At 40.9% G+C, this 23450-nt stretch overlaps 2 pseudogenes, besides 1 other annotated feature; one reads left to right on the top strand and one right to left on the bottom strand.

Moving 5' to 3' along the window:
• Positions 963–21233, bottom strand: LOC100420006 (fatty acyl-CoA reductase 2 pseudogene; annotated as a pseudogene).
• SSBP3P2 (SSBP3 pseudogene 2) lies at positions 3295–4847 on the top strand (annotated as a pseudogene).
• Positions 9392–9893: an enhancer, noted in NCBI's record as "H3K4me1 hESC enhancer chr2:132104413-132104914 (GRCh37/hg19 assembly coordinates)". NCBI's record gives its function as "activates a minimal SCP1, AML or CMV promoter by ChIP-STARR-seq in naive H9 embryonic stem cells {active_cell/tissue: H9 hESC(naive)}" and the evidence as "EXISTENCE:reporter gene assay evidence [ECO:0000049][PMID:30033119]".

Below are 23450 nucleotides of genomic sequence, written 5' to 3'. Positions count from 1 at the left end.
TCAAATCTCTATCGATAGACTGGATTAAGAAAATGTGGCACATATACACCATGGAGAACTATGCAGCCTTAAAAAAGGATGAGTTCATATCCTTTGTAGTGACATGGATGAAACTGGAAACCATCATTCTGAGCAACCTACTGCAAGGACAGAAAACCAAACACCGCATGTTCTCACTTATAGTTGGGAATTGAACAATGAGAACACTTGGACACAAGGCGGGGAACATCACACACCAGGGCCTGTCATGGGGTGGGGGGATGGGGGAGGGATAGCATTAGGAGAAATACCTAATGTAAATGACGAGTTAATGGGTGCAGCAAACCAACACGGCACATGTATACATATGTAACAAACCTGCGCGTTGTGCACATGTACCCTAGAACTTAAAGTATAATAAAAAAAAGAAGATAGTATAATTCAAAGTACTTTCAAAAGGACATAGCGCTATACTGAGGTTAGAAAAAACAGTGTTCCCAAGCTGAGATCCTTCTGTGCACTTTGTAACCCTTGTTTACCCTGGCAGTTGCAATACTACCAATTTGACCATTAAGAACATTCGGTATGTTTAAACTATAGTGGGAAAGCCAAGATATGAAACCATCACCCATGGGAATTTTGAGGCTAGAGTAATTAGAAGCTAATTTAAGATCTCCATTCAACTCTAGGACAGTCAGGGTAACTGCCAGAGAAGCTGCATGCTGGGTAAATCCTGATCCCAAAGTGGAATTTTGCCCTAGTACAATGGGTTCATACTTGATTGGCTGCACTTAGCTATACATCCTGAGGAGGAGGAAGAGGAGGAGGAGGAGAAGGGGAAGGGGAAGAGGAAGAAGACGAAGAGGAAGAAAGAAGAAGAAGGAAGAGAAGGAGGAGGAGGGGGAGAAACGACATCAGAAAGTAATTGGGCTAGAAGAACTTTAATTTGGAAGCAAAACACAGAATCCAGGTGAGTGGGCTTACTGGGAAAGGGTCGTGCCACGTCGCTCCCACAGTGGAGGGCCTTATGATGGCGATGGTTAGGTTTCTGCTCTCCTGCTGCACCACCATTTCTCCCAAGGCCTTGCTGTAGGTGCAAGAATTGGGCGGATCTCTGATCAGCTTGGGTGTGATCTCATCAATAACAGCGTCATCTAACCACCTAAAAGGTAGTCAGAGTAAAAAGAATTCTAGCAGCATATGTTAGACAATAGACCAAAAGGAAAATGTGACACACAAATAGTCAAACAAAACTTCCACCTTTTAGCCTTGGTTCTGGAATTCAGAACAGTCACACGATACCAGGTTTGAGTGCATACCTGTTCAAAGCATGCATGAGCTCTTTGCTCTCCACTGCTAAGCCCAATCTCATCAGCCAAATCCTATGCCCTCCCATCTAGAGAGATAGGTAGGTAGACAGACCAATAGAATCAATAGCAATACCACTTTGTTATTACTACTAGTATAGGGCTATTAGTACTACTTGATTAGTATGACTTTAGCACTACTATTTATCAATTACTTTATCAATATTATTACTTTATCTGTAGTAGTGCTAATTTGAGGTAATTACATACAACCTCTTTACTTCCTCTCCAAGAAGCTCATAAGTAAATTCATTGCACGCATTTTTGATTCCCAATCATTCTCCCAGTAGTGTGCTGGAAGCTGTGTTCAGGGAGTTTGAGGCTCTCATCCAAGGTGTTTCAGTGGCAGCCCTGTTCAGTGTTGTCCCATAGAAACCAGTGCAGTGATCCTGAAGAGTTTAGCTTTACATTTTAAAAATTTCATTCAATGCAAATCAAACCAAAGTGACTACTTTTGGCAGACTGACAATCTGTTTTACCAAATCTATGTAATGCATTTTGAAGGTCTGTTTGGAATCTGTGCTAATAACTTGCTAATTATTTCCAGAGATTTCCAATGAATTCTGAAGTCTGTCAAGTGTGGTGATTATAGTACTCTGAAATTGCTTCAAAATCATGAATATTGAATTATCCTATCTCTAATATGACATGTATCATGAATAACTGAGTTACCATAGCATCAGCCTAATCTTTCTTAAAAATGTCAGAACTGGCCTGGCGGAGTGGCTTACACCTGTAATCCCAGCACTTTGGGAGGCCGAGGCGGGCAGATCTTGAGGTCAGGAAATTGAGACTATCCTGGTCAACACGGTGAAACCCCGTCTCTACTACAAATACAAAAATTAGCTGGGCGTGGTGGCACGCGCCTGTAATCCCAGCTACTTGAGAGGCTGAAGCAGGAGAATCGCTTGAACCCAGGGGTCGGAGGTTGTAATCAGCCAAGATAGCACCACTGCACACCAGCCTGGTGACAGAGAGAGACTCCATCCATCTCAAAAAAAAAAAAAAAAAAAAAGAACCATTTGATGAACCCGAAGTCTATCTACCTGTCTCTAAGAGACAAAAAAATTATTGTCAATTAAAATGTAACATTTATTCTGACAGATCTGTGTGGTTAAATTATTGATATAGCATTTTAAAAATTAAGCTGCCATTCTAGCTGATGTGAGATGGTATCTCATTGTGGTTTTGATTTGCATTTCTCTGATGGCCAGTGATGGTGAGCATTTTTTCGTGTGTCTGTTGGCTGCGTAAATGTCTTCTTTTGAGAAGTGTCTGCTCATATCCTTTGCCCACTTTTTGATGGGGTTGTTTGTTTTTTTCTTGTAAATTTGTTTAAGTTATTTGTAGATTCTGGATATTAGCCTTTTGTCAGATGGATAGATTGCAAAAATGTTCTCCCATTCTGTAGGTTGCCTGTTCACTCTGATGGTAGTTTCTTTTGCTGTGCAGAAGCTCTTTAGTTTAATTAGATCCCATTTGTCTATTTTGTCTTTTGTTGCCATTGCTTGACATAGGAACGATTTTACACTGTTGGTGGGAGTGTAAACTAGTTCAACCATTGTGGAAGACAGTGTGGTGATTCCTCAAGGATCTAGAATTAGAAATACCATTTGACCCAGCGATTCCATTACTGGGTATATACCCAAAGGATTATAAATCATGCTACTATAAAGACACATGCACACGTATGTTTATTGCGGCACTATTCACAATAGCAAAAAGTTGGAACCAACCCAAATATCCATCAGCCATAGACTGGATTAAGAAAATGTGACACATGAGGCCAGCGCCGGCGGCGGCGGCAGCGGTGCTGGGGGCGCAGAGGGCCGCGCAAGCGGAACCGGGCGAGCACGCGAGCTACCGGAGAGCGGGCGGCCTTGCGGGAGGCGGCGGCGGCACCCCAGGCCAAGCCGGCACGGGAGGAGTTCCAGGGCGATGGGGCCGCGGCCGGGCCTGATGCTTTGACAGCTGGAAAGAGCGCGGAGCCAGCGCCTGCTCGGGAGGGAGGGGAGCGCTGCTAGGAGAGCGCCAGCCAGCGAGAGAGGGAGGGAGCGCCTGGGAGGGGGCCGGGGGCGAGGGGCAGCTCGGGAGAGCCGGAGCGGTGGCGGCTGTGGGGAGGCTGGGCGCCCTCTTCCCTGCAAACCATGTTTGCCAAAGGCAAAGGCTCCTTGGTGCCCTCGGACGGGCAGGCTGGGGAAAAGTTAGCTTTATACGTCTACGAATATTTACTGCAGGTAGGAGCACAGAAATCTGCACAGACCTTCTTATCGGAGATTCGCTGGGAAAAAAACATCGCGTTGGGAGAACCGCCTGGGTTTTTGCACTCGTGGTGGTGTGTATTTTGGGACCTTTACTGTGCAGCTCCTAAAAGGAGAGATACTTGTGAACATTCAAGTGAAGCAAAAGCCTTTCATGATTATAGTGGAGCAGCTGCCCCAAGCCCCGTGCTTGGCAACATTCCCCCAAGGATGGGATGCCTGGAGGCCGAGTCCCCCCAGGTTTCTTTCAGGGTCCTCCGGGGTCACTGCCCTCGCCGCACGCACAGCCTCCACCTCACAATCCTAGCAGCATGATGGGACCCCACAGTCAGCCTTTTTTGTCACCGCGATACGCAGGCGGCCCCAGGCCCCCCGATCAGAATGGGAAACCAGCCTCCGGGAGGAGTTCCTGGGACACAGCCATTGCTGCCCAATTCCATGGATCCCGCACAACAAGGCCACCCCCACATGGGAGGATCAATGCAGAGAATGAACCCTCCCCGAGGCATGGGGCCCATGGGTCCCAACCCACAGAATTATGGCAGCGGCATGAGACCACCACGCAATTCCCTCGGCCCCCCCATGCCCGGGATTAACATGGGCCCGGGAGCCGGCAGACCCTGGCCCAATCCTAACAGTGCTAACTCAATTCCATACTCCTCATCACCTGGTACCTATGTGGGACTCCCTGGTGGTGGCGGCCCTCCAGGAACACCCACTATGCCCAGTCCCTCAGATTCAACAAATTCCAGCGACATCTACACAACGATTAATCCGGTGCCGCCTGGAGGCAGCCGGTCCAACTTCCCGATGGGTCCCGGCTCGGACGGTCGGATGGGCAGCATGGGCGGCATGGAGCCACACCACATGAACGGATTGTTAGGGTCAGGCGACATAGATGACTTCCAAAAACTTATCCTAACAACGTAAATAGTATTAGCAATCCTCCAGGCACCCCTCCAGATGAGGGCGAGCTAGGAGGGAACTTCCTCCACTCCTTTCAGAATGACAATGATTCTCCAAGCACGACGATGAGTGTGTGATCCCCCCTTCTCCAAGACGCTGAGAGAGCCGGCATTGCAGGCGGGAAGATGCCAGAAATCACGCAAGAAGTGAGGTGTCATTATCCAGGAGCTGGTGGGGAGGGCATCTCCTGCTCCCCTCAACCCCCTCCCACCCCATCCATGCCCACCTTTCCCAATTTTAGTTTCATGCAGTAAAAAGGCCGAACTTTTTATTCCATAAAACAAAACAAAAGAAAGAAAATGTGGCACGTATACACCATGGAATACTATGCAGCCATAAAAAAGGATGAGTTTGTGTCCTTTGCAGGGACATGGATGAAGCTGGAAACCATCATTCTGAGCAAACTATCATAAGGACAGAAAACCAAACACCACATGTTCTCACTCATAGGTGGGAATTGAACAATGAGAACACTTGGACACAGGGCGGGGAACATCACACACGGGGGCCTGTCCTAGCGTGGAGGCTAGGGGAGGGATAGCATTAGAAGTACCTAATGTAAATGACGAGTTAATGGGTGCAGCAAACCAACATGGCAGATGTATACCTATATAACAAACCTGCACGTTGTGCACATGTGCCCTAGAACTTAAAGTATAATAATAAAAAAATTAAGCTGCCAGAATATGCTAGTGTGATTTTTCTGACCAATGTGGTCCATTTATTTCTATTTTATACAACAGAACATAACTATACTATTTTGATTGTAGAAAATCTTCACTGTTACCACCTTGCTGACATGACACATTTTTGAACAACTAAGATGTGCATGAGGTTAAGACTTATTCAGAATCACAACTCTCAGTATTAATGCCTCATTTCATCCTGGGGTAGAACATGGGCATTGACTATAATGTTTCCATTTTTCTTGCTTTGCTTCTGAGTGCTGAGTGTGTTCTGGATACTCAAATGCCTTTTCATTTAAATTGAATAGAGAAAGATTGAGGGCTTCTAGAATTAAAAGCAACTTAAACTACATAGTAATATCAAGGATATTTTAATTATATGGTCACCTGGAGGCTGGGAAAAAGTGTAGGACGATGCAGACACCTCTCCATCTTAACAATAATCCTACCTCATTTCATTTGTGGGTCAACAGCAGATTGACTGACCTGAGATCATTTTCCCTCAACTGCAAAAATATACAGTTTATAAAAACCAGGTCTTCAGAAAATAGAGCTTAATATCAATAAGGCTGTAAAGAAAAATTCCTAGAAAACATCAGAGCCCAACAATGTGCTGGGATTGTATGTCACATGGCTAGTACCAGTTGCGGTCATTAATGTTGGGGTACATGGAAAGGATAATACTTGGGGGGATGGGGGCCTTATAAAGCTTAGTAGGTTTGCTTGTCTTAGAAAATGTTGTTTTTGGTTGTTGTTGTTTTGGTTTCGTTTGGTTTATTTGGGTTTTTTTTTTTTTTGCTTTTTTTTTTTTGAGAAGGAGTCTCGCTCTTTTCCCCCAGGCTGGAGTGCAATGGTGTGATCTCGGCTCACTGCAACCTCTGCCTCCCAGGTTCAAGCAATTCTGCCTCAGCCTTCTGAGTAGCTGGGATTATAGGTGCCTGCCACCACGCCTGGCTAATTTTTGTACTTTTAGTAGACACAGGGTTTCACCATGTTGGCCAGGCTAGTCTCGAACTACTGACCACAGGTGATTCACCCTCCTCGGCCTCCCAAAGTGCTGGGATTTCAGGCATGAGAAAATGTTGGTAATACACATGCAAGAAATTTTAATATTCTATAGATGGCTTGCCTCTGTTGTTCTTAGTTACACCTGTATTCCACTGTTTTATCTTCTCATTCCAATTTTACTTGTGAAAATAGCAATAATTATATTCATTCTAAATTCTCAGGCTATTATGAGGGTAAACAAAAATATTCACAACTGCATTTAAGATCTTTGATAAAACAAAATGAGCCAAAAACCTAAGGCATTCCTATTTTTAAATAAAACAACAAGGGAGCATCAAACATCTGTGTAGGTAATAGTTGGCTGTAAAATGTCATTTCTGGCCAGGTGTCGTGGCTCGAACCTATAATCTCAGCACTTTGAGAGGCCAAGGAAGGAGGATCGCTTGAGTCCAGGAGTTTGAGACCAGCCTGAGCAACATAATAAGGCCCTGTCTCTACAAAAAAAGTTTTTAAAACTTAGCTGGGCATGGTGGCATGCACCTGTAGTCCTACTCAGGAGGCTGAGGCAGGAGGATTGCTTGAGCCTGGGAGTTGAAGGCTGTAGTGAGCTGTGATTCTGCCACCCTACTCCAGCCCAGGTGAAAGAGCAACACCCTGTCTCAAAATAAATGAATGAATGAATGAATGAATTAATGAAACAAATAAAAATAAATTATCATTAATAATACAGCCAGACAGACCATCTGCTAGCTCATTCAGCCAGTTCCTAGGTTCAGACAGGAGATTAGTGTAAACACGCACATGCACTGACTGGGAAAAGCCCTTCTCAGGACTTTCACTCAATTCAGGGTTGCTGCTGTTGTTTGTCCTCAGTATGTTTTTAAACAGTAAATAAGTTACCATGGATAAAAAACACTATGTAAACCAAAATACATGTCTGAAATTAATCGAAATGTTCTTCAGTATACTCAAGAAGATGTTTTGACCCAGGGGTCTCAAATTCTAAACTCGAATTGCTTCAGAAGAAGCATAAAGTCATTGAAAATTTCAGAAAGCAATATGTATATGTCTATGCGTGTACATGCATAGACACATATACAATTTCTTCTAAAGATTACTATCAATTTTGGGGTTACAAACTTATTGAATGAACATGATGATATCATTAATAATTACATTATTTATGTATTTACGGAATGAAATGCCAAGAGGCATATGTATTTCCCCTCCCCGACCCTCCAATTTTCTTACGCAACAAGTTGGCAAGCCTAGTGGTTTATGAGGAAATCTGTTAGAGAGTAAGTAGTGGATACACTGTCTTATGATAACATTTGGTCTCTCTTTCTCCAGTCTAAATTATATAATTCACTTGATTGTTGTAGTTGTCAAGTTGTATTTGTTTATGTGTCTGTCTCCCCACTGGACAGTGAGTCCAGGAGAACAGGGATTATGATTTTTATCTCTGTGTCTAATCACTTTTCTGCCCCCAGGAGCCAGCTACCTTATTCAGTAAATCGATGCTCTTCCACATGGTAATCCTGATTGGCCAATTTCTGCACTATATAAGGTTTTGGGAAGCAGAGATGGACAATGATGAGAGAGAGTGGATGAAAGGAAGATGAGGTTATAGGGAGAATGTGAGAAAGGAAGGAAGGGGATATCTTCATAGAACAGGAAGCAAAATTGGAAGTCAAAGTGTGCAGTGGCAGTGGTGAAAAGTGTTGACCAACCTCGGTTTGGTGAAGGTGGCGTCAAATCAATTTAAACTTGTCACAGGGAAGCAGGGTATTTCTGAGCCTAATGCTTATGGAGGATTAGTCTCTGTATTTCCCTCCAGACTTTCACAGACTACTCAGCCTAGCCCAAACATGAGCCAGATGCCAAATGGACTGCCAATGTGAAAATTATTCGATTTGATTAAGAAACAATTTAATCTTACTCTGGTTTGTATTTAAAGCCTGCTAATATCAAAGTACACAGAATTTTCATTTTTATATCAGCAACTTAGATGCCATTTAGAAGCTGTGCCATCCTGAAATTAAAAGCACAAGTTGTAGAGTCAGCTTTCACCATTCCCCTAGAAGAGATCAGCTTTTTTGGTGTTAACAATGTGTTCTATAGCAGGAAGGAAAGGCTACTGTCCAACGTCTGACCTCCTTTCCTATCTCCTGGAGGGCTGTGATGAGGGCCACTGATGCTGGCTGTGGGGGTCTCCATTTCCCTGCCTCTCACCCCTGCACCCTTAGGGCACATGCCACCTTTCCTTTTTTACATGGCAGACTAGCTATGTCTTCTGGTGGCCATGTAGCTTCAGAAGTGTGGTTTTTAGTAGGTACAGATCCATGAGGAACTTTCATTCAATTAAAGCTTCTAGGAACTGAAAGACAACAGAAGGTGAGGAAGGCAGGAGAAAGAGGAAGCATGGGGTATTAGAAGATAAATGATCCTCATTTCAAATGAAGACTGCTTAATGAAAAATCTCCTTAAGGCACTATTTCCCAAACTTGCCTGGTCATCAGTGTGAATTACACAAGGCCCCTGGGAAAAATCCAGACTCCTGGGTGCCATTTTAGAACCACTAAATACATCTGCAGAGGTAAGAGTCTGGATAATCTGTATTTTCAATATGCCCTGGAAATTCCAACAGTCAGGCAAATTAGGGAATCACTAATTTAAAGAAGTCCGCTCCACCAACTTAAGTCATTAAGATTTGAATATATCAGGACTAGCTCTCAAAAACGCATTGCTTCTTGAAGTAAACATTTCAACAGAATTGAATTTTAAAAGAATTAAATCCCCTGAGGGTGGAGCGAAGACGGCCGAATAGGAACAGCTCCAGTCTACAGCTCCCAGCGTGAGCGACGCAGAAGATGGGTGATTTCTGCATTTCCATCTGAGGTACTGGGTTCATCTCACTAGGGAGTGCCAGACAGTGGGTGCAGGACAGTGGGTGCAGCGCACAGTGCATGAGCCGAAGCAGGGTGAGGCATTGCCTCACTCGAGAAGCGCCGGGGGTCAGGGAGTTCCCTTTCCTAGTCAAAGAAAGGGGTGACAGACGGCACCTGGAAAATCGGGTCACTCCCACGCTAATACTGCGCTTTTCCAGTGGGCTTAAAAAACCGCACACCAGGAGATTATATCTGGCACCTGGCTCGGAGGGTCCTATGCCCATGGAGTCTCTCTGACTGCTAGCACAGCAGTCTGAGATCAAACTGCAAGGCAGTAGCGAGGCTGGGGGAGGGGTGCCTGCCATTGCCCAGGCTTGATTAGGTAAACAAAGCAGCTGGGAAGCTAGAACTGGGTGGAGCCCACCACAGCTCAAGGAGGCCTGCCTGCCTCTGTAGGCTCCACCTCTGGGGGCAGGGTACAGACAAACAAAAAGACAGCAGTAACCTCTGCAGACTTAAATGTCCCTGTCTGACAGCTTTGAAGAGAGTAGTGGTTCTCCCAGCACACAGCTGGAGATCTGAGAACGGGCTGACTGTCTCCTCAAGTGGGTCCTTGACCCCCGAGCAGCCTAACTGGGAGGCACCCCCCAGTAGGGGCAGACTGACACCTCACACGGCCGGGTTCTCCTCTGAGACAAAACTTCCAGAGGAACAAACAGGCAGCAGCATTTGCGGTTCACCAAGATCTGCTGTTCTACAGCCACCACTGTTCTGCAGCCACCGCTGCTGATATCCAGGCAAACAGGGTCTGAAGTGGACCTCCAGCAAACTCCAACAGACCTGCAGCTGAGGGTCCTGTCTGTTAGAAGGAAAACTAACAAACAGAAAGGACATCCACACCAAAAACCCTTCTGTACATCACCATCATCAAAGACCAAAAGTAGATAAAACCACAAAGATGGGGAAAAAACAGAGCAGAAAAACTGGAAACTCTAAAAAGCAGAGCACCTCTCCTCCTACAAAGGAACGCAGCTCCTCACCAGCAATGGAACAAAGCTGGAAGGAGAATGACTTTGACAAGCTGAGAGAAGAAGGCTTCAGACGATCAAACTACTCCAAGCTACTGGAGGAAATACAAACCAATGGCAAAGAAGTTAAAAACTGTGAAAAAAATTAGACGAATAGATAACTAGAATAACCAACACACAGAAGTCCTTAAAGGAGCTGATGGAGCTGAAAGCCAAGGCTCGAGAACTACATGAAGAATGCAGAAGCCTCAGGAGCCGATGCGATCAACTGGAAGAAAGGGTATCAGTGATGGAAGATGAAATGAATGAAATGAAGCGAGAAGGGAAGTTTAGAGAATAAAGAATAAAAAGAAATGAACAAAGCCTCCAAGAAATATGGGACTATGTGAAAAGACCAAATCTACGTCTGATTGTTGTACCTGAAAGTGACGGGGAGAATGTAACCAAGTTGGAAAACACTCTGCAGGATGTTATCCAGGAGAACTTCCCCAATCTAGCAAGGCAGGCCAACATTCAGATTCAGGAAATACAGAGAATGCCACAAAGATACTCCTCGAGAAGAGCAACTCCAAGACACAGATTCACCAATTTGGTCACAGATTCACAGATTTGGTCAGATTCACCAAAGTTGAAATGAAGGAAAAAATGTTAAGGGCAGCCAGAGAGAAAGGTTGGGTTACCCACAAAGGGAAGCCCATCAGACTAACAGTGGATCTCTTGGCAGAAACTCTACAAGCCAGAAGAGAGTGGGGGCCAATATTCAATATTCTTAAAGAATTTTCAACCCAGAATTTCATATCCAGCCAAACTAAGCTTCATAAGTGAAGGAGAAATAAAATACTTTACAGACAAGCAAATGCTGAGAGATTTTGTCACCACCAGGCCTGCCCTAAAAGAGCTCCTGAAGGAAGCACTAAACATGGAAAGGAACAACTGGTACCAGCCACATGCCAAATTGAAAAGACCATCCAGGCTAGAAAGAAAATGCATGAACTAACGAGCAAAATAACCAGCTAACACCATAATGACAGGAACAAATACACATATAACAATATTAACTTTAAATGTAAATGGTCTACATGCTCCAATTAAAAGACACAGACTGGCAAATTGGATAAAGACTCAAGACCCATCAGTGTGCTGTATTCAGGAAACCCATCTCACGTGCAGAGACACACAAAGGCTCAAAATAAAGGGATGGAGGAAGACGTACCAAACAAATGGAAAACAAAAAAAGGCAGGGGTTGCAATCCTAGTCTTTGATAAAACAGACTTTAAACCAGCAAAGATCAAAAGAGACAAAGAAGGCCATTACATAATGGTAAAAGGATCAATTCAATAAGAAGAGCTAACTATCCTAAATATATATGCACCCAATACGGGAGCACCCAGATTCATAAAGCAAGTCCTGAGTGACCTACAAAGAGACTTAGACTCTGACACAACAATAATGGGAGGCTTTAACACCCCACTGTCAACATTAGTCCGATCAACGAGACAGAAAGTTAACAAGGATGCCCAGGAATTGAACTCAGCTCTGCACCAAGCGGACCTAATAGACATCTATAGAACTCTCCACCCCAAATCAACAGAATCTACATTTTTTTCAGCACCACACCACACCTATTCCAAAATTGACCACATAGTTGGAAGTAAAGCACTCCTCAGCAAATGTAAAAGAACAGAAATTATAACAAACTATCTCTCAGACCACAGTGCAATCAAACTAGAACTCAGGATTAAGAAACTCACTCAAAACCGCTCAACTACATGGAAACTGAACAACCTGCTCCTGAATGACTACTGGGTACATAATGAAATGAAGGCAGAAATAAAGATGTTCTTTGAAACCAATGAGAACAAAGACACAACATACCAGAATCTCTGGGACGCATTCAAAGCAGTGTGTAGAGGGAAATTTATAGCACTAAATGCCCACAAGAGAAAGCAGGAAAAATCCAAAATTGACACCCTAGCATTGCAATTAAAAGAACTAGAAAAGCAAGAGCAAACACATTCAAAAGCTAGCAGAAGGCCATAAATAACTAAAATCAGAGCAGAACTGAAGAAAATAGAGACACAAAAAACCCTTCAAAAAATTAATGAATCCAGGAGCTGTTTTTTTCAAAAGATCAACAAAATCGATAGACCACTAGAAAGACTAATAAAGAAGAAAAGAGAGAAGAATCAAATAGATGCAATAAAAAATGATAGAGGGGATATCACCACCAATCCCACAGAAGTACAAGCTACCATCAGAGAATACTACAAACACCTCTATGCAAATAAACTAGAAAATCTAGAAGAAATGGATAAATTCCTCGACACATACACACTCCCAAGACTAAACCAGGAAGAAGTTGAATCTCTGAATAGACCAATAACAGGCTCTGAAATTGTGGCAATAATCAATAGCTTACCAACCAAAAAAAGTCCAGGACCAGATGGATTCACAGCCGAATTCTACCAGAGGTACAATGAGGAGCTGGTACCATTCCTTCTGAAACTATTCCAATCAATAGAAAAAGAGGGAATACTCCCTAACTCATTTTATGAGGCCAGCATCATCCTGATACCAAAGCCTGGCAGAGACACAACCAAAAAAGGGAATTTTAGACCAATATCCTTGATGAACATTGATGCAAAAATCCTCAATAAAATACTGGCAAACTGAATCCAGCAACACATCAAAAAGCTTATCCACCATGATCAAGTGGGCTTCATCCCTGGGATGCAAGGCTGGTTCAACATATGCAAATCAATAAATGTAATCCAGCATATAAACAGAACCAAAGACAAAAACCACATGATTATCTCAATAGATGCAGAAAAGGCCTTTGACAAAATTCAACAATGCTTCATGCTAAAAACTCTCAATAAATTAGGTATTGATGGGACGTATCTCAAAATACTAAGAGCTATCTATGACAAACCTACAGCCAATATCATACTGAATGGGCAAAAACTGGAAGTATTCCCTTTGAAAACTGGCACGAGACAGGGATGCCCTCTCTCACCACTCCTATTCAACATAGTGTTGGAAGTTTTGGCCAGGGCAATTAGGCAGGAGAAGGAAATAAAGGGTATTCAATTAGGAAAAGAGGAAGTCAAATTGTCCCTGTTTGCAGATGACAAGATTTTATATCTAGAAAACCCCATTGTCTCAGTCCAAAACCTCCCTAAGCTGATAAACAACTTCAGCAAAGTCTCAGGATACAAAATCAATGTACAAAAATCACAAGCATTCTTATACACCAATAACAGATAAACAGAGAGCCAAATCATGATTGAACTCCCATTCACAATTGCTTCAAAGAGAATAAAATACCTAGGAATCCAACTTACAAGGGCTGTGAAGGACCTCTTTAAGGAGAACTACAAACCACTGCTCAATGAAATAAAAGAGGATACAAAGAAATGGAAGAACATTCCATGCTCATGGGTAGGAAGAATCAATATCGTGAAAATGGCCATACTGCCCAAGGTCATTTATAGATTCACTACAATCCCCATCAAGCTGCCAATGACTTTCTTCACAGAATTGGAAAAACCTACTGTAAAGTTCATATGAAACCAAAAAAGAGCCCGCATCGCCAAGTCAATCCTGAGCCAAAAGAACAAAGCAGGAGGCATCATGCTACCTGACTTCAAACTATACTACAAGGCTACAGTAACAAAAACAGCATGGTACTGGTGCCAAAACAGAGATATAGATCAATGGAACAGAACAGAGCCCTCAGAAATAATGCTGCTTAGCTACAACCATCTAATATTTGACAAACCTGACAAAAACAAGCAATGGGGAAAGGATTCCCTATTTAATAAATGGTGCTGGGAAAACTGGCTAGCCATATGTAGAAAGCTGAAACTGGATCCCTTCCTTACACCTTATACAAAAATTAATTCAAGATGGATTAAAGACTTACATGTTAGACCTAAAACCATAAAAACCCTAGAAGAAAACCTAGGCAATACCATTCAGGACATAGGCAGGGGCAAGGACTTCATGTCTAAAACACCAAAAGCAATGGCAACAAAAGCCAAAATTGACCAATGGGATCTAATTAAACTAAAGAGCTTCTGCACAGCAAAAGAAACTACCATCAGAGTGAACAGGCAACCTACAGAATGGGAGAAAATTTTCACAACCTACTCATCTGACAGAGGGCTAATATCCAGAATCTACAATGAACTCCAATAAATTTACAAGAAAAAAACAAACAACCCCATCAAAAACTGGGCGAAGGATATGAACAGACACTTCTCAAAAGAAGACATTTATGCAGCCAAAAGACACATGAAAAAATGTTCATCATCACTGCCCATCAGAGAAATGCAAATCAAAACCACAATGAGATACCATCTCACACCAGTTAGAACAGCGATCATTAAGAAGTCAGGAAACAACAGGTGCTGGAGAAGATGTGGAGAGACAGGAACACTTTTACACTGTTGGTGGTACTGTAAACTAGTTCAACCATTGTGGAAGTCAGTGTGGCAATTCCTCAGGGATCTAGAACTAGAAATATCATTTGACCCAGCCATCCCATTACTGGGTATACACCCAAAGGATTATAAATCACGCTGCTATAAAGACAATGCACACGTATGTTTATTGAGGCACTATTCACAATAGGAAAGACTTGGAACCAACCCAAATGTCCAACAATGATAGACTGGATTAAGAAAATGTGGCACATATACACCATGGAATACTATGCAGCCATAAAAAATGAAGAGTTCATGTCCTTTGTAGGGACATGGATGAAACTGGAAGCCATCATTCTCGGCAAACTATCACAAGAACGAAAAACCAGACACCACATGTTCTCACTCATAGGTGGGAATTGAACAATGAGAACATATGGACACAGGAAGGGGAACATCACACTCCGGGGACTGTTGTGGGGTGGGGGATGCGGGAGGGATAGCATTAGGAGATATACCTAATGCTAAATGACGAGTTAATGAGTGCAGCACACCAACATGGCACATGTACACATATGTAACAAACCTGCACATTGTGCACATGTACCGTAAAACTTAAAGTATAATAATAAAAAAAAAAGAATTAAATCCCCCAATGCTATCCCTTCCCTAGCTCGCCAACCCTCAACCGGCCCCAGTGTGTGATGTTTTCTTCCCTGTATCCATGTGTTTTCATTGTTCAACTCCCACTTATGAGTGAGAACATGCGGTGTTTGGTTTTCTGTTCCTGTGTTTGCTGAGAATGATGGCTTCCAGCTTCATCCATGTCCCTGCAAAGGACATGAACTCATCCTTTTTTATGGCTGCAGAGTATTCCATGGAGTATATGTGCCACATATTTTTTTTCCAGTCTATCATTGATGGGCATTTGGGTTGGTTCCAAGTCTTTGCTATTGGGAACGGTGCTGCAATAAACATGTGTGTGCATGTGTCTTTATAGTAGAATGATTTATAATCTTTGGGTATATACTCAGAAACGGGATTGTGAAGTCAATTGGTATTTCTGGTTCTAGATCATGGAGGAATAGCCACACTGTCTTCCCCAATGGTTGAACTAGTTTACACTCCCACCAACAGTGTAAAAGCGTTCTTATTTTTCCACATCATTTCCAGCACCTAATGTAGATGAGAGGTTGATGGGTGCGGCAAACTAACATGTCATGTGTCTACCTATGTAACAAACCTGCACGTTCTCCACATGTATCCCAGAACTTAAAGTATAATAATAATGACAATTAAAATGATTGAAAATTTAAAATTTTAATTTAAATTAGGCTTTAGTTACTTGCAAAATACATTGTATTTCCAAACAATGTGCAAAACAACGAGTTATTGTATACATTATCAATAAAGTTATATCACTTCTCATAAAAATAACATTAAAGAAAAATAATTAAATCCATCTTAGGACAATTAAAAAGTGTATCTGTCAATTTTCACATGAAAATTCTCTTACGTTTATACATCCCACATTCTAATAAGGACTAATTGGAATTGATTTATGAGCAGTAAAGAAATATGTGTATGCATGTCTGTATACTTATAGATGTATATCTGTTCCAATGGAAATATCTATTTGTAGTCAGAAAATCTGTTTGGTCCCAGTTCTCACTAATAATATGATCTTACTAAAACTACTTAAACTGAATAAACTCTACTTTCTCATTTATTAAAAAAAAAAGAATTAAATCCCTGGTACTAGAAATGTAAAACATGGCAAGTATGCATGTTCTAATCTGGAGTTAATTTGGTATGTGTAATTCCATAAGCAAAGCAGTAGCCATGTCCAATTGTTTTTTTGTTTTCTTTCCCAAAACACATTGCTAATCCACTGCCTCCCCCAACCCCTGGCCATATCAATATTACTGAAGCCCACTTTCATCAGTGTCTTTCCATGATAAAAACAAATGAGCAAACAACCAAAAATTACACACAAAACCACATACACACACATGGCCCTCCTTCAATGGGGCTCCACTGCCTAGAGAATTAAATCCAATTCCTCTGCATGGTATGCAAAATCTCCACAGTACAGCCCAGCCTGCCTCTCCAGCTTGATCTCTAACTGCTTCCCTACACACATGTGCTGCCAAGAGGGACTTCTGGCTGTGTCCCAAACATGCCTGGGTTTCCCAGCTCCAGTTGCCCTGCCTGGCACGTGTGCACATCTCACCTACCCACAATCTTCCCACTCTTCCAAGTCACCTCATATGCCTCTCTCCACTCCACCAGGCTTAATATGTACTGTTTTCCCACCACCCCACGTGTCTAATTCTGCCCTGTTCTATTTGTCTGGGATGTGAGGTCCTTGGGAACACAGTCTATATGCTAAGAAAGCACCTTTTAATCTCTAACACTGCCGAGTATGTGAGTAGACTGGAAAGACCATGAGCTTCAGAATCAAGTGGCCATGGATACCTTTCTTGGAAGTCTTGATAGACTTTCAAGGAGTTACTTAGCCTTCCTGAGCTTTTTGCTCCTTAATTAGCATAGCAGTGATGATAAATCAACCCTACAATATTAAGTTATGGAAATAAATGTCTGTGAAAGTGTCTTCCTCACAGTGATTGCTCAATAATGATTCATCTCCTCCCTTCCCTTCTTATTTCAGATTTATTTACATATGTTCAATAAACCAATAAGTATTTGTGATTCCATTTTTCTAGTTCCTAATTCTAGTTATTTCAGGTTTTTATACAGGTGCAGAAGCCCTTTTCTTCTACACTGGTTCCCTTAAGAGGAGTTACCTTGACCTAAAACATAAGAAAAGCACCAACCATAAAACTCTGCCTTTCTTGGTCAGTTATATGCATTTTTAAAAATAAACGTTCTACGTAAACCGTTATTCTGGAAAACCAGAATTTCACTGGCAATCCCTGATCCATTTATGCCCATAAATTTCCAAGGTAAATACACCAAATAGGCAGAAGCTGTTAATATGAAGATAGAGATGAGTCAGGATGGGAACTGGTGGCTGGGATGAGGGGCAGAAGACAACTACAGGTATAAGAGCCAGGAAAATTGTTGTTTAACACTGATTAATGGCCATGCTTGTCCTACTCATTAAAAGCATTAACTTCTGATTTAAGTTATTTGAAAATATTTTTATGCTAACATGCTAAAGTTTTTGTGCTAACAAAATCAAATTTCATCTTTCTGGAATATTTCAGAGCCAAGGTAATTCTAAAGTTTTTAGATAGGTGCTAAAGAAAGGGAGCTCAGGCCTGACAGTCTCAGGATATAGGCCAGATAGAAAATCAGGGGAGCTGAACGAGGAGAGACGTTAGGCCTGCAAAGGTAGGGACCAGGATGTTAGCATGAGGTTGAAGTTCACAGTCCCATTCACTTTATTAACAGCACTGAGCAGTATCACTTCTGCCCAAGCCGTCAGAAAGGTCCTGGCCAAAAATGCAAATCCTTCTTTATCTTCCAGAACTAGAATTCCCATTCAACAGATTTTCTGGAAAAATAAAGTTTCCTTTTACATTGTCATGGCTATGTTTTTGAGATCACAATGCCCAGAGTACAGCTTCAAGATTATCTTGATGTCTAACTCCTGGTTCCTTAAGAATGGCTGAAATACTAAGAGCAAATGACAGCTGCTAGACCCCTTGAAGTTACTGTTCAGAAAAAAAAAAAAAAAAAAAAAAAAAAAAACTCTTCCCTAGGTATTTCTCCGTTTCACTAAAAGATAAACTCCCAGGGGAAATAGAAACCTAAAAACCTTTGAAAATAATTCTTTTTTAACACAGGCCAATTACTAAATAGAGAACTCATCAAAGAAAAAGTATTTTCTTCAAACAAAAAACTAAACCTGTGTTTAGGTAAATTAATATTTATTCATAATGATTTTTAACGTTATTTGCCATTCTAAAACTACCAAAACTTCCGTCTGGTATAGGAGTTATTGAAATAGTCATAGATGATGGTATAGGTGGAGAGGGGTTGCTGGGCTTTGTTTAAAGTGCTATTCAAAGCTTCACATATAGGTTTCATTCAAAGTTTAAGAAGAAAAAAACAATCAGAAACGGGTAAGATGTGGGGATATAAATAGATATTTTGTACATAAGACTTCTGCATCCCCAAATATTAGCTTGCTATGGAATTCTTGTTCCAGTCAAAACAAGCAAACAAAAACAGTCAGAACAGCATGAACAACAATCATCTAGTTCCACCAAAAACTTTTCATTCATTCAGCAAGCATTGAGTCCCTAGCTGAAGATGCAAAGAGGAGCAAGAAATATTCTCTTCCATTGAGACGGTCATTGTCTAATGGAAAATGTAGATAAGCAACCAGACATTCAGAATGAGCTGTGTTACAAGCAATAATAAAGCTGAGCACTAGGTACTATGGGGCACTCGGGAAGGCTGCCTAAGCCAGAGAGCTTCACAGGGAGCCTTGATGTCTGAGTGAGAATTAACCAGGTGAAGCAGAAAGGGAAATAGGCTCTAGGAACAGAGAGCTTTGAGCGCAAAGGCAGGCAGAGTGTGAGGAGAGGAGGCCTTACTTCCTTGTGACTGCAGCATGAAGGTAAGGGGAGGGCTGAGAGAAATGAGCCTCGACAGCTGTTCCTGGATGTCCTAATTAATTTTGAATTAACAAATAATAAGTATGACTTTTTCTGTTTTTTTAAAAAAACTTCATTCCTTAATTGCATGCAAAAGGTATCTGTTGAGATAAAATAATTTCATTCCTGGTTCTAATTAGTTGCTTAAATAATTGTTATCCTTGGAGAACAGTAATGACAGATGAACATTAAAAATTTTGTAAAAATGTCAATTGCAGTTTGTTCATATATCACATACTTGAGGGAGTGTGGAAAGTGCTGAATGCCTGAAGATAAATCAACTCTTCCTCTGGGAGGTGAGTTTATTCTTCTTTGAAACCCATTATTTAGTGTCTGGACATGGTGGTATGGAGTACATAGAGAAGCCCTTCGTTAGCAGTGAACTCCTACTTCTTTTCTCTGATGAACCCTCAGACTCTTGCTGCCTCAAATTGCACTACGACCTGTCAGGTGTTAGAGAGATCAGCAGTGGAGAGAGTCCCAGGAAATGGCCTGGAAACAAAAGGAGTCTGCCCCTCTCCTTGGTATATCAAATATGGAAGCATCACATTTGCCAAGAGACAACACCATAAGAGGGTAACTGACAGAAGTCAATTCTATCCTGAAAATGCTCTGAGGTTTTAAACATAGTTTATTGCCTTGATGTTGGGCCTCAGGGTACACCTGCCTTTTCTCCCACTATCCTGATAAATTCTGCACTCTAAAATGTTTCTCTGTATCAATGTAGCAAACCTCCATTTATTAGCAACTTTAAGTAACCTCCAGGTCCTTTAGATGACTTTCATTCTTCTCTGTCCTGAACATTTTTATGACAGACAAAAATATCTATTCTCAGAGCTGGAGGAGATAAAAATGTTTCCCCTGAAGGGAATGAACTCTTAATTAAGCTAAAGCTTTTTAAAGAGTATATATTAAATGTAAATACAATATTATAGAAAATTATAATGTAATAAATTTACTGTGAAAGAGTCCATTTTTCTGGTATAATTATTTTTATGTAGAGTTTTTAAAAAAAATAGAACAAAAAACAAGGTAAACTTAGTGAAATGGAGCAGAATAAAGAAACAGAAAACAAACCTATCCTGAGACCCGAGCTGTGTCCTAGGATGAAAGTGGTTTCTGCTGTTTGGCAAGAAGAGAAAAATCCTAGACACTATTTCTCTTGCATAATAGGACAGTAAGGAAAGGGTGTCTTAACCAAAGAAGTCAAGAGACCTTCTGCCAGATCTTGGAGCAATTCTTATTCTTCATTAGTTCTTCTTTACTAATCATTTGATTAACTGATATTAAACACTCCCTAGCACTGCAATAAGTGTTTTATATAACTTTATTCAACCTCACAACAATCAAATGGGCCCATTTTACAAATGAAGGACCTGGGGTTCAGAGAAGCCAAGGGGCTTTCTCAAAGTCACACAGCTAGTTAGTTGTGGAGCTATGCCGAACTCATGTCTGACTCAAAAATTTTTCTTCTGAACTTTTATACTATACAATGTACTTGCTTTATCTAGTGACAATGTTAAGTTCATTAAGAAGTGAGAAACCACTTCTATGTATAATATTCCCAAGTACCTCATGCAATCCTATACAGTTTAGCAAAATGTTTCTTTAAGAATTTTCTATCCCCCTTCTCTTTCAGCAGTATATTCCCCACCAGGGGATGAAGGAGCTAGCAGGGACAAGGTAGCTAAGGCTAGCAGTGTTTCAAAGCATTTTGCTTCAAAAGTGTTTCACTTCATCATCTCATTAATAGCTACAAAGAATCAAAGAGAGCAACATTCTACTCACACCTGGATCCCTTTATTTGACGAATTATTCAAGGGAATCACAGATTTTTTTTGGCTCCACAGGGCACGAATAAACAACTTCATCGATGTGCTTCAGGTTACCATTTGAAAAGGCAGTAGAGATATGTATAAAGGCTTCCAGCTTTGGCATCTCACTAGCCATAAGAGCCGCTGGGTGGCAGTGATGTTAAGTTGCACAGCATGTCTACAGAAGATTAAGCAGAAGGAAATACAGTGAGGTAAGTCAGCATCATGCCTGGCTATAACTGCACCTACTCCCATAACCGGCATACCTATCAGATTTTGGTGGCTGCACCAAAACACCAGGAAGAAAAGGATGGGGCACGGCTGCACAGTTATGTGATACTTGGAATGTCTTATGTATTGATGATGTGTCTGTGTACATAAACCCTATTCACTGATGCACTGTACGCATATTTAGATGTCACTTGGCTCTAATCAACTGGAAAAAGAATCACAATCCTCTGAATTTACAAAGGTGCTTCTATAAGCAGCCATTAAAAGAACAAAAACATGTAAATTAAGCAGCTAACTGAAGAAATTGGAAAATATAAATAAACTGGAGAGGAGCAACAGTGGATTTTTAAATGAGCAATATCAGTTGTTATTATAAAGGTCTAGGCCAGACATGAAAATTGATGTCAAAATCTGAAATTGCAACTACTGGAATACAAAGCTATATAAACAGTATGTGATAACAATGAAGTAGTTCATTCCATGAATACATGGTTTATTGAATACCAGGAAACTTATTAATTTAATTTAACTCAAAAAGAGAAAAACTATTTAATAATCTATATGTATTTTGAAAAGTTTAAGATGATGTTTAGTTTTCATTTCCAATTTAATTAAATGAATTCACTAGAATAGGAATAAAATGATTAAACAATATATATTTAAATTTGCTAGCCAATGTCATTCTTAATGGTGAAAAGCTAGGAATACTGCTTGTAAAGCCAGGGCTAGAAATAATGCCTACAGTCACAACTACTATTTAACATTGTTCTGAGGTCCTAGCCATGTAAGTAATTAGAAAGAAAACTAAAATTAATGAAGAAATATAGATATTAAAAAGACAGTCACAAAAATTACTATAGGATTATATAATTGCATACCTGGAAAACAGAAGCAGCTTTTTTAAAAAGCTAAAGTGTACTATAGTTCAGTAAGGTGTCCGCTGATTAAAAATTATATAAAAAGGCTGGGTGCAGTGGCTCAAGCCTTAATCCCAGCACTTTGGGAGGCTGAGGCAGGCGGATCACGAGGTCAGGAGATCGAGACCATCCTGGCTAACACGGTGAAACCTCGTCTCTACTAAAAATACAAAAAAATTAGCCGGGCGTGGTGGCGGGCACCTGTAGTCCCAGCTATTTGGGAGGCTGAGGCAGGAGAATGGCATGAACCCGGGAGGCAGAGCTTGCAGTGAGCCGAGATCATGCCACTGCACTCCAGCCTGGGCAACAGAGCAAGACTCCGTCTCAAAAAAACAAAAATGAAACAAAACAAAAAAACCATTAGCTTGCCTATATATAAACAAAAATTAGAGAATACAATGGAAGAAGTTCAAATGTGGACATTTAAAATATAACAAATTAATCATAAATGAATATAATAACAAAAAACAACAAAAATTGAATAAATGGGAAAACTTTGTTCTTGGATAGGAAGAATCAATATTTTAAATATGCTAAATGTTTCTAAAGTATTCTATATCTATAAAGTAATTCCAATCAAACTCCCAAGATTTTTAAAAACCTGGCAAGATTATCTTAAATTTAATCAAGAAGTATATGCAATGAGAACAGTCAGGAAAACTCTGTAAAAATGAGAGTGTGGGAGGTGGAGGTTGCAGTGAGCCACGATTGTGCCACTGCACTCTAGCTTGGGCAACAGAGTGAGACTTCATCTCAAAAAAAATTAAGTAAATAAAATAAAAAATAAAAATAGAAACTCCTCATGTATGACTTCTGTAGTCAGACACTAACACTGTGTTTTTATTAGAAGCAGGAATTGGGTTGGGGGCATTAAATTTATATAATGCTTTTGAAACAATTCAGAAGCCTTTAATGTGGTCTCTTATAATCAACGCGTTAGCCACATGACCTCATTTGGTAGTATCCACAGGAGATTTGGCCTCTACTTCATTGGGCTCATTGAAGCTTTTCCAGTCAAACTTTTCAAGTCATGAGAATCTTTGGTCTTTAATTACTTTACTAAGTCTTGCTCTTCAAAAATAACTGTATTATTTAGTCCCATTAACCTACAAAGACCTGCTTACATACATATATATATATGTACCCAATGTACAGATTAACAAAAATTCACAAAATGTTAAAATTTTTGCTAGTTCACTAGTAACTCCCATAAGATGTAAAGATTAGTCTACATGTTTTTAATGCTTTA

The sequence above is a fragment of the Homo sapiens genome, chromosome 2, assembly GCF_000001405.40.
Source record: "Homo sapiens chromosome 2, GRCh38.p14 Primary Assembly".
NCBI lineage: Eukaryota > Metazoa > Chordata > Mammalia > Primates > Hominidae > Homo > Homo sapiens.
This window is presented reverse-complemented; position numbering and strand designations above follow the sequence as displayed.